Source organism: Homo sapiens, chromosome 16 (genome assembly GCF_000001405.40).
Source record: "Homo sapiens chromosome 16, GRCh38.p14 Primary Assembly".
Taxonomy (NCBI): Eukaryota; Metazoa; Chordata; class Mammalia; order Primates; family Hominidae; genus Homo; species Homo sapiens.
In genome coordinates, this window is record NC_000016.10 from 19,522,893 (window position 1) to 19,535,371 (window position 12,479).

The 12,479-nt window shown below is 39.3% G+C and overlaps 1 protein-coding gene across 12 annotated transcripts in view; it reads left to right on the forward strand.

Annotated features, from left to right (window-relative positions):
- Nucleotides 1-1,049: 1,049 nt before the first annotated feature.
- CCP110 (centriolar coiled-coil protein 110) overlaps nt 1,050-12,479 on the forward strand; it is a 29,467-nt gene continuing 18,037 nt past the window's right edge. For 3 of the 12 annotated variants that reach the window (XM_011545991.3, NM_001323570.2, XM_047434961.1), the window contains exons 1-5: nt 1,050-1,196; nt 1,888-2,332; nt 2,827-2,969; nt 4,975-5,130; nt 9,524-9,652. In XM_011545991.3, the coding sequence (XP_011544293.1) occupies nt 4,990-5,130; nt 9,524-9,652 (270 nt within the window). In that variant the 5' untranslated portion in view covers nt 1,050-1,196; nt 1,888-2,332; nt 2,827-2,969; nt 4,975-4,989. Of the gene's footprint in view, nt 1,197-1,887; nt 2,970-4,974; nt 5,131-9,523; nt 9,653-12,479 lie in introns of all 12 variants that reach the window. The other 9 variants (NM_001323569.2, NM_014711.6, NM_001323576.2 and 6 more) reach the window with 4 other exon arrangements.

The window sequence follows — 12,479 nt, forward strand, 5'->3', positions numbered from 1 at the left end:
CCCCTAATCTTACTTCTGCTAAGGGCTTTTGTACCAGGCACTGTACAGGAGTTACCTCAACTGTGCCTCACAACCACCCTTGTGATAGGCACTTTTAAAACCCCCATTTTACATATGCAAAAACAGGCACTGGAAGGAGGGTAAGAGAGATAGACCATGAAGCCGAGTTAGGGAGTGAAAAGGGGCCCCTGGACATATTTTGGAGGGCTGGTAACATTTTTATGTAGAGAACTTTGCAAAAATATTCAGGGATTTTTCTGTTACCTTTTTTTCCTTTAGTGCATTTTCCCACTGATTTGCAAAAGGGGATAGATGTCTTAAGCCTTCCAGTTGGCATCTAGGATTCAGCCTTTTTTTTTTTTTCTTTCAGACAGTCTCACTCTATCGCCCAGGTTGGAATGCAGTGGTGCAATCATGGCTCACTGCAACGTCGACCTCCTGGGCTCAAGCGATCTTCCGACCTCAGCCTCCCGAGTAGCTGGGATCACAGGCTCGCGCCACCCCACCCGGCTAACGTTTAAAATTTTTGTAGAGATGCCGTCTCCCTTTGTTGCCCAGGCTGATCTCGAACTCCTGGGCTCAAGCGATCCTTCCGCCTCGGCTTCCAAAATGTTGGAATTATAGGCGTAAGCCATCACGCCCGGTGGGTTCAGCAAGTTTTTACCTACAAGAAAATATTTTGGTGAATGTTACATGTTTTCTAACGGCTGCATAGAAAGGGGTTATCTTTATACAGATAAGAAAAAAATGGCAACTTCAAGGAACACTTCAGGGGGCTTCAGACCCTGAGGGGTGTTCCTATTCTACTAAATAAGTAAATTTATTAATAAATTCTAGTCTCTAGCTTGCAAGGAAGACTACGTTTCCCGGCGTGCAGCGTGCTGGCCGTAAGCATTACGTCCTCCATCGCGGGCGCGCAATGCACCTCGGGGATGGTAGTGTTCTGGTGGCCCAACGGTTTTAACAGCCCGGGAATCAACCACCGGAAGTGCCGGCCCTGAGAGGTGGAGTCGGGGTGGCAGCGGCGGCGGTTGCCAGGAGCCCGCGTTGCAGCCTGAGATCCGTAATATGGCGGGGAGGAGGAGGAGAAGGCGGCGGCGGACCGAGCTGCGCTCTGTCAGTACCATTTGAGCCATTCGCTTCCTGACAAGGCCCGTGGCGAGGGGAGAGGAGCTGAAGGGGCCGTGGGGGATCAGGTGTGTGCATGAGGAGGGGGCTTGAGCCTTGACGGGTCCGGGCTGAGAGGTGGTCTGGCGAGGCGAAATTGGCGCCCTGAGAAGCTGAGGGCGGGCTCTGTGCTGGGCTCCCGGGCCTCGAGCCCCCTGGAAAGGCGCCGGCTGTTGGGAGGCGGGACCCCGGGGGCAGCCAGCACCGGGCGCTGAGGTGATGCTCCGATGCTGGCCCCGCCTGGAGGGCCCTCGGTTTGGAGTCTTAAATCGGAGGAGCTGGAGGAGGTGGGCATGGGGCGCTGGGGAGAGGGCAGGGGGCCGTCCCTGGTGAATAAAACTCGGGCCAGAGCCGGAGAACCCCATCGTGGTGATCAAATTGTTTGGGCCGTTTTTCTTCTCCCTCCCACGGTGCTGGAGAGGGAGGCTTCCCCGGGGTGTGCATTGGCCATTTATGAGCCCCTGTTTCCACAACCAAGGCCCTAGGAGCGCTGCTTACTTCGCCTTTGCCACTCTGGGGCATAAACTTGAGGATAATAAAGTAATCGATTGCCCCTGGAGCTGCTAGATGGTTCCCACCCTTTGATTCTATTCTGGTTACGATCCAAGCTCCCTACCCCCAGTTTAGGCAAATGGCAGCCATCTCGAGATTGATTTGACGGGGAGAGGTCTAGGGACAGGGAAATGAGGAAGCCGTTGTCCCCTTTTCTATATTTTTCAGTTTCATTTGAAACCTACGGGGAACCAAGCACTGTCGCTGCCCTCCAGGAATTCATACTCTACTGCTAAAAATCGTCATCATCATTATCCTCTTAATAAGAAAAGCAGTCCCCATTATTTGTTGCTTTCTGCGTGTTCTGCACTACGTTAATTGCCCTACATGCATTAGCTCATTGAATTCTTACAACATTCCTTTGAGACGGATACCGTGATCATCCCTCTTTTACAGAGGACGAAACAGGTGTGGGGATGGTAACTGGCTTGCCAAGAACTTGCAGCTAGTACGCATCTGAATAAGAAATCTTCCCCTTTACCGCTTTTACAAGAAGTTTGCGTCTTTGGCGGAACTGATGGGCAAAGAAACACTAGGTTCTGCAAAAAAAAAGCAGGATCTGTTCTGTGTTACTTTTACCACTCTTTTCAGTGACATGTCTGGCAGAGCACGGGTAAGGAGCAGATAGGACCATGAGTCTACGGGGTTTGCAAAGAGGCTCATTTGCACAAGGGTCAGTGGTTCTCTGTGGTATAAATGGAGAAGACGGCATGTCTGAACCTGCTGTAGCTGACAAATTATTACTGGAAGTGGACCAGTGATGCCTGATGGCAAGATATAGAGCAGTAGATTTGTGGCTGGGGTAGCCTTGTAGTCAGGGCTCCCTTAAAATAAAACCTTGCTGACAGTGGTAATTGTAGTGTGAAAGGCATAGTGTCCTCTTGCTTAATCATGGGATACAGACTGCTCACTTCTTAAATGGTTACCTTTGCAGTTTAAGAGGTACCAGTTTCTCTGGGACTAGAGCCATGGTGAAATTTCCATTCTCTAAATTCCACTCTTCCTTGCTAGCTTCGGTGTATAGTCCGCCTTCTTTTTTTCTTCTGGTTTACATTATTGTTTGAGCTTATTATTATTCTTATTCATTTATTCAATACTTTTATCAAGTGCCTGCTGTGTGCTGATACTGTTCTGTGTAATGGGGATTCAGTGAACAAGACTGAAAAGGTACCTGTACTTATGGCGCTTACATTTTGGTGGAGGAAGACAGACAAAAATCAAGGAAATAAACACGATAATTTCAGATAGTGGTAAGTGCTATGAAAATTGGGAAACAGCAGGGTAATGTGATAGTGATAGAGGCAGAGTTCATTTAGATGGGGTCATCAGGGATGCCTTCTCTGAGGAGGGGATATCCAAGCCGAGACTGAAGAATAAGAAGGATCCAGTCATGCTCTAAGGATCATCTAGTAATTTGTATAATCTCCATATTAGCACTCATATTTGAATGAGTAATGCGTTGTCATATGCTGTGTTGTGCTGTAATAATAATATAGTACTATACATCTGCAAGATATAGGACATATATGTACTATTTAAGGGATGTGAATAACTTTCTGAAACAATGAGGCATAGCTCTATGATGTTGAAAGAAAAATAAAACTATGGCCATAAAAGTATTATATTTCCTTAATAATTTCCCTCACTTCTAAAATTGAATTTCATGCTTTGCTTGAGTATCCATAGAAGATATATTACTTTATTTGTATAATCTATTTACATTCTGTGTATTGCTGAATGCATGGCATGATTAAAAAAATAAAATATTTGAGCAGAAATGGGGTTAAGAAATAATGTGAGTTGAAACCTAGACCTAAAAAAAGGCTATGCCTTAAGGTGTTTTATTGTTTTTACTTTTGCTTTTTTAAAATAAATAAAAGCTTGTAAAATAGTCTCACTCACACTGTAGAGAACCATTTGTTTGTCATTAGATTCCTACTTTGCATAGATTGAACACAAATAATTACAATTGATTGAATAGTAGGAAGAAGTTTTGTTATTGATTAAACTATTTAGAAAAAATAGCATTATATCTTATTTTTTTATAACCTGATTATAATTTTGACTATTTTTTTTTTCCCATTTCTCATTGCACTATAATTTGTCCCTGATACTTTGGTGTACTGAATTTTTAAGTACTTTGAGGCCTACCGAGGACATATCCTATTTCATCTTTGCATATCCCACATCATGAATTGAATTTCCCTGCCCTCTCTTTTTTTGTTAAGAAGCTAATTATTTTAAAATGAAGACATAAAGGAACATGATTGTATTCTATTTTCTGTTTCCATAGTTCATACCCTTGCTGGTTATGATTCTGATAATGTCTTTTTATTTTCCCTTGCTTATTTAAAGGAAACAGTGCCACACATAATGCTGTGCAAATAAGCAATCAACATTTACTGTTTGCTAAATGAATGAATATGATGCCTAATCCCTCCTGGTTACCTTGTATTTTCATAATCACAATTTCCCAGAAACTGTGAAATTACTGGGATTGTTTTAAGTAGTTTGGTGATGGTTCCAATTTTCAACAATAAAATATAATTAATATCAGAGCCAATCGATTTGCTCTTTTTTACCTCTGACTGAGTTGGCTGGTGCTCATGCAGTCCAAGTATAGTGTTAAGATAGGCAAATTGAGGCAGGAGGATTGCTTGAGTCTCAGAGTTTGAGACTATAGTGCACTGTGACTGAACCTGTGAATAGTCACTGGAATCCAGTTTGGGCAACATAGTGAGACCTTGTCTCTTTAAAAAAAAAAAAAAAGATATGAGAGTAACCTCTGAACTTCAAAATAGAAAATTTTTAAAAGTAAATATTCTTTGATTTAAGTAGGCTTTTTTACTACAGTGTTTGTACCTTTGTATGATATAGTTTTTCTTGTGTAGATAAGTCCTGTTAAAGAAAATATAATATCCTGTTTTACAATGTGAAGTTAGTAAAGATTTACAGAACTTTGTTTCCTTTAAGAAGGTTTTACTGAATTCTTAGCTAAATTAATCCCATTTAAAGATTGATTTACATGCAATAATATTCAGAAATATTTAATATATAAAGTAAATCTTAATTGGACAGGTTCTTGAGGTGAATTACCATACCCAAGAATTAGCTCCTGATCAGTAAGACAATTCTGGGAGGACCAGTTATAGGAATTGTGAATTATAGGGACTCTCTCATGCTCTACAAAATCTGCCAAATAATTAAGATCTGTTTTTCCCAGTACATTAAAAATAACATTTTTCTCTCTTGTAGTGTGACTGTGGGAAGATGGAGGAGTATGAGAAGTTCTGTGAAAAAAGTCTTGCCAGAATACAAGAAGCATCACTATCCACAGAGAGCTTTCTCCCTGCTCAGTCTGAAAGTATCTCACTTATTCGCTTTCATGGAGTGGCTATCCTTTCTCCACTGGTAAACTTGCTTTGTTTTTAAATAGTTTTTTTCTGTAGTGAACAACTAAAACAGTTCGTGGAAAAACAAAAGAAAGGCTTATAAACATTTGAAGAGATGCCCTCATTCAGAATTAGAGAAATACAAATGAATTAGCATTTTTTACTTACTATTATAGATTGGCCAAGACCTAATAGAACTTTGTGTTCCTTAGATTGTGGAGAAAATGCACTTTTAATGCACTTTTGCTAAGAGAATCAGTTTATTTTATTTCTAGATGAGCAGTTTGGTAGAATTTAAAAGCATACATAGCCTTTGGGTCAGCAGTTCCATTTTTGGGTATATCCTACAATTATATGTGAGCCCAAAGAAATAAGTACAAAGTTACATTAGCATTGTTTAAAATAGCAAAGGTTGACGAACCACCTAAATGTCCATCAGTAGTGGAGTAGTTTAACTATGGTCTATTTTATAAACTCTCATACATACCATTACAGTAAGGCAGATGTAAATGTTGAGGCATGGAAGGATCTCAATGATCTAGTGTAAAACACCGTGTGCAGCATGCTGTCAGGGGCAGTATAGAGTCATGATTAGAGGTCCAGACTCTGGGCCAGGCACAGTGGCTCACACCTATAGTCCCAATGCTTTGAGAGACCGGAAGGAAGAGGATTGCTTGAGACCAGGAATTCAAGACTAGCCTGGTCAACATAGTGAGACCTCATCTCTATAAAAACATGTTAAAAAATTAGCCTGGCGCAGTGACATGTGCCTGTAGTCCCAGCTCTTCAAAGGCTAAGGCGGAAGGATCGCTTGAACCTAGGAGTTGCAGGCTGCAGTGAGTCAGGATTGCATCATTGCCTGGACTACAGAGAAAGACCCTATCCCAAAAGAAGGAAAAAAACTCCAGCCTGGGCTAACAGAGCAAGACCCTATCCCAAAAGAAGGAAAAAAAAAGTCTAGGCTGTGGAGCCTTCTGGCCTGGGTCCAAATCATTGCTTTGCTACTTACTTGCTGTGTAAACTTGTGGTCCATTTTCTTATTTGTTAAATGGGGATAAAATAGTGCCTACCTCATAAGGCTATTTTGAAGATTAAATGAATTCGTAGATATAAAATGGTTAGAATACCACCTGGATCATAAGAGGTACCCAATATAAGTTAACCATTTGGGTTTTTCAAAGGATGGCTATTCCTTTTCTGGGGAGTGGTGAGAGAATATAGGATAATAGGGAAGACACTTCATCATACACCCTTTGATACTAATTGGATATTTTAAAAATGCATATGACTTTATTTTAAATCACAAACTAATATTAGAAAAAAGTGAGCTTTAAATTTATTTTTTGGTATAACAGGAGTTAAGAGATTAATTTTAATTAATTGAATTGAATTTTTAAAGACACCAGAGCTAACTGCCAACTTTTTGTAATGAAACTTTCAAACATACAGCAAAGTTGAAAGGATAGTGCAGTGACCACCCATAGATTTACCATTAGATTAAATAATTTTTAACATTGTTGTCATCTTTGCTTTATTGTGTTTGTGATTTTTATATACATCTATGTGTGTGTGTACATATGACATTTTTAAAAATTGCCTAGCTATTTGAAAACCACGGAGACCTGACACTGCTCCCCTAAATATTTTGGTGTACATCTCTTAAAAATAAGGACATTCTCCTATGTAAAGCCCCAATACCATTATCACATCTTAAGAAAACTAATAATTTTTAATAATATCTAATAATTCTGTTCATATTTAAATTTTTCCATTTGTGCTCAAAATGCCTTTTATAACTTTATTCCCCCAATCTGGATCCAAAGTTCACAATTAGTATTTGCTTGTTATGTTTCTTTATTTTAATCTAAAATAGCTACTGTACGTCTTAAAAACAGTTTTTTTTATTGGTTGAGCATGGTGCCTCACGCCTATAATCCCAGCACTTTGGGAGGCTGAGGTGGGTGGATTGCATTGCTTGATCCCCAGAGTTTGAGACCAGTCAGGGCAACGTGGTGAAATCTCATCCCTACAAAAAATACAAAAAAGAGCTGGGTGTGGTGGCGCGCACCAGGAGTCTCAGCTGCTCTAGAGGCTGAGGTGGGAGGATCACCTGAGCCCGGGAGGCTGAGGCTGCGGTGAACCCTGATCATGCCACTGCACTCCAACCTGGGTGACAGAGTGAGATACTGTCTTTAAAAAAATAACAAAACTATGATACTGAATTTTTAAAGAGACCAGAGCTATTGTCTTGTAGAATTCCTTAGATCTTGGATTTGTCCCATTGTTTCCTAATAGTGTTATTTAACTTGTTTCTCTAGTCCCTGTAGTTCCTATGAACTGGAAGTGAAGTTTGATAAACAGGTTAAAGATTTTTGGAATTCTTTGAAGATAGGGCTGGGCGGGGTGGCTCATGCCTGTAATCCCAGCACTTTGGGAGGCTGAGACCAGCCTGGCCAACATGACGAAACCCCGTCTCTACTAAAAATACAAAAATTAGCTGGGCGTGGTGGTGGATGCCTGTAATCCCAGCTATGTGGGAGGCTGAGGCAGGAGGATCCCTTGAACCCAGGAGGCGAAGGTTGCAGTGAGCCAAGATCCACTGAACCCAGTAGGCAAAGGTAGTGAGCCGAGATCGAGCCACTGCACAACAGCCTGGGCAACAGAGTGAGACCCTCTCTCAAAAAAAAAAAATGTAATCCCAGCACTTTGGGAGCCCGAGATGGGTGTATCACTTGAGGTCAGGAGTTCGAGACCAGCCTGGCCAACATGGCGAAACCCCTTGTCTACTAAAAATATAAAAATTAGCTAGGCATGATGGTGGGTGCCTGTAATCCCAGCTGTGCGTTAGGCCGAGGCAGGAGAATCGCTTGAACCCAGGAGGGATCGGGATCGCACCACTGTACTCCAACCTGAGACTCCATCTCAAAAAAAAAAGGAATTCTTTGGAGATGATGCCCTGCACTTCATACTAAATTAAATCAGAAGTTACATAATGTTTAGTTGCCCTCTATTAGTGATGTTTAGTTTGAACACTTGCTTACAGTAGTGACTGCCAGATGGCTCTTTAAAGTACACATTTTCTCCTTTTGATTAGCAAGTAAATTGTATAATCATTCTTTGGTACCATGCAATTAGGAAAAAGTTTTAAAACAACATATTTATCAGCTATTTGATAACACATTGCTTGATTTAATGTGGACCAAAATGTCTGAGGCTTGTTGTGTAGGGTCTATGACTCCGTCTGTTATTTATTTATAAGCAAAATGTGATGTTTATGGACCTAATCCACACTTTTATGTTGTATTTGATAGGTGAATATTGCAACTTTTGAAATAATTTTTTAATGATATATTTTCTATTTGTGTAAGTCTACGATAAGTCTTGACTGTTAACAGTGATTTAATTTCCCAGGACTTAATAATTAAGATTGAAATCCATTATAAAGAGATACAATGCTTAGAAGCCTTCCATTTTTTAGGTACATTATATTTTTATCAGAAGGTAGAGTGAGGTGAAAGAAAAGATGTATTCTGCTTTTGTAGGCAAATAATATATTATCTGTTTATTTTATCATTAAACCTTTGGACATTTTTTGAGGCAGCAAAGAGTTAAATTGTGCACTGGTTAGAAAATTAAAAGTTGTAGAATCCAGTTGATCCAGTGAAATAAGATACTGAAGATGGGCCAGGCGCGGTGGCTCGCGCCTGTAATCCCAGCACTTTGGGAGGCCGAGGTGGGCAGATCACAAAGTCAGGAGTTCGAGACCAGCCTGACCAACATGGTGAAACCCCATCTCTACTAAAAATACAAAAATTAGCTGGGCGTGGTGGCACGCGCCTGTAAGCCCATCTACTCCGGAGGCTGAGGCAGGAGAATCGCTTGAACCCAGGAGGCGGAGGTTGCAGTGAGCCGAGATCGCACCACTGCACTCCAGCCTAGGTGACAGAGCAAGACTCCATCTCAAAAAAAAAAAAAAAAGGATACTGAATGTGAAGTAATATTCAAGTCAATATTCAAGTGAAGTAATAAAAAACTCAGCAGTGGCCAAAAGGGCCTTAATTTTATTTCTGTCATTTTAGAACATTTGATTAGTGAACAAACTTTTTTCTTTTTAACCTTTTAACTGAAAATAATTTACACATAGCAAAATGCACAAATCTTAAGTGTTAAAGTTCCATGAGTTTTGATATATGGCATACACATGTATAACTCACACCCACACAGGATTTTCTTCACCATGGAAAGATCTCTAATGCCCCATCCCACTCAGTACCCAGACCATTGTTCTGATTTCTTTCACTATACATTAGTTTTGCCTGTTGCACATGTTTTTAATCTTTCTGATTCACAACTTCCCGATTTTATGATATTTTTATCGTGGGAAATAATTACATTTTTATGATGTTTTGCAGCTTAACATTGAGAAAAGAAAGGAAATGCAACAAGAAAAGCAGAAAGCACTTGATGTAGAAGCAAGAAAGCAGGTTAACAGGAAGAAAGCTTTACTGACTCGTGTCCAGGAGATTCTTGACAATGTTCAGGTGTGTGATTTTAGCTGTTTCAGTTATAATAAAGAAATCATAAGATAAGCGTTGATGATAATTTTTCTGAAATATATTTGCACTTAACTAATTACTAATGTACTTTACTGTTACGTTTGAGAAGCTTCATAATTTGTGATTTTCCATTTCAGTTACTCCAAAGAGAATGTACTTGCTTGTTAGTAATGCCCAGTACTTGAATCAGAGGATATTTACACAATAGAACCATACACTGAATATAATTGCTTATTGTTTGCATCTTATGACTCTAAAAACATTGAATTCTCAGTGACAAAATGACAGAATTGGGTATTATTGTTTACCCCAAACTAATTAGACTATTGACTAAATGACCTTATTCTCATTCTTTGCTTAAGTAAATAACTGCCTCCAATTTTTTTTTGGTGAAAACTCTTAGATACACAAAATGCAGTTTAGATAACATTGAATTGTTTAGATGCATCCTATGTCTAAAAACTATTTAAACAACACATCTACACCTTGTGCAGTTATTTTTAGATTTGTATAAACAATTTGTTCTGACATGTGGATCATTTTGTACTAAAAAGAAAAACAAATGAATTAGATTGAACGAATAATTTCTACAACATATAGCAGTGTTCTGCTGGTAACATCTTTTTGTTTTTTCATAATCTTAGGAGTTTGTGGTTTGTCTGTTTAATTCGTATCGATGACACGTGTATAATGAACCTTAAGGGTTCATTTCTCTGTTGGTAGTGTAAACTGAAGAAAATGACTGAGGCAAGTCTCAATCGATTTAGAGGTTTGTTTTGCCAAGGTTGAGGATGTGCCAAGGAAAAAGAGACAAAAGTTACAGTAGAATCTGTGGCTTATGCTTTTCCAGAAGAGGTTTTGAGGACTTCAGTGTATAAAGGGGAGAGAACAGCAGGAGGGGAAAGAGGAAAGAAAAAAAAAGGAGGGTAGGTAATGAGATAAGCGATCACATTTTTGTGAGGCTTTGATTAGCACTCACTGAATCCACAAGTCGCATGAGAAAGGTGGGGGTAGAGGAACAGTCAGTTATGCATTCATCTCAAGCTCAATAAATCTGCATTTTACATAGGATAAAGTAAGCAGAGTAGAGGAAGAAGTCAAATATACATTTGTCTCCAAAGGGATGATTTCTAGTCATCTTTGGTCTTTGTCCGTATCTTGTCAGAGTGAAATTCAGCAGAACTCTGGGTTGGTGTAAAGATTTTGGGGCCTACGAGGAATTTCCTTGTGAGCAATTTGCAAGAGAGTCTACCTGGGTAGATAGGTGGCCTTCTATTTTGCAGCTATCTGTTTAGGAATAAAAGGAAGGCAGTTTTTGTGTGACTCAGTTCCTAAGCTTTACTTTTTCCTTTGACATGTGATTTTCCATTTCAGTTACTCGAAATCCCTATGTAATGAGTCTTCAGAATCTGATGAAAAAGTCAAAGGAATATATAGAAAGAGAACAATCTAGACGCAGGCTGAGAGGTAGTATTAAGAGAATTGTTAATGAGAGTCATAGTGACTCTCATGTGACATAGTTGAGTTTGGGGTCCTGAGATATTATTTCCCTTTCACAGTAGTATATAGTGTGTGGGTAGTAGATTTCATTTTGCAGATTATAATTACTGTCCATATTAAGTTTAAAAAATGTATTGAGTAGCACTAATTTAACAATAAGAGGTAGGTTTTTTACTTACTACGTATTTCCTGTGATTGAAATGAAAATGGCATATCATTCTTGGTCCATTGAGGGAAGATAAAATATACTACTAATAAAATTGTTAAAAGAGCATGTATAATGTTGAACTGTAATGAATTAATTATTCAGATAGGAAAATTTTATATAATACAATTAGATTTCTGCTTCACCTGTAAAACCTAAGATTCTATGATAGATTTTTTTCTTGTTGTTATTTAACTTGTCTAACTAAAGGCTCATTTTAGTGACGTATAAACAACATAGCTTCCGAATATCACAAATGTGAAATATTTTACGTAAGGAAATCATCTGTTTTACTTAAACCTGTGAACATGTTCATGGATTTCATAAATATGCATCCTTTTTGTTTTATTTTGGTCCTGAGGCTGTGACTAAGTATGTCTTGTACTCTTGTACTGTTGATTGCATAGTACCTGGAAACCTTTTTGCATCTTTTTTGTTTTATTTTGGTTCTGAGGTTGTGACTAAGTATGTCTTATTGTACTGTGTATTGCATAGTACCTGGAAACCATTACCTGTCTTGGGATTTGTAACGTAAAATAGGAGAGCCATGTGGTCTAGAAAAAAACAAGCACATTCAAAACAACCAAAAAATATTGTAATATTCAGACTTTTTTTTTTTTTTTTTTTTTTTTCTGAGATGGAGTCGCGCTCTGTCGCCCAGGCCGGAGTGCAGTGACGTGATCTTGGCTCACTGCAAGCTCCGCCTCCCAGATTCATGCCATTCTCTTGCTTCAGCCTCCTGAGTAGCTGGGACTACAGGTGCCCACCACCAAGCCCAGCTAATTTTTTGTATTTTTAGTAGAGATGGAGTTTCACTGTGTTAGCCAGGATGATCTTGATCTCCTGACCTCATGATCCGCCCGCCTCGGCCTCCCAAAGTGCTGGGATTACAGGCGTGAGCCACCATGCCCCGCCAGTAGTCAGGCTTTTGATGTCTGTATTCATATGATAATACAATGATTTTTGCCAGTTTAATATACGGATGTATAATTACCTTTAGAAACTATCCTAGTTCTCTTTTTATTCTTTTGCAAAGTTGGATTATTTAGATACAAAATATCTATTTTTACATTCATTCATTCATTCATTCATTCATTTTTGAGACAA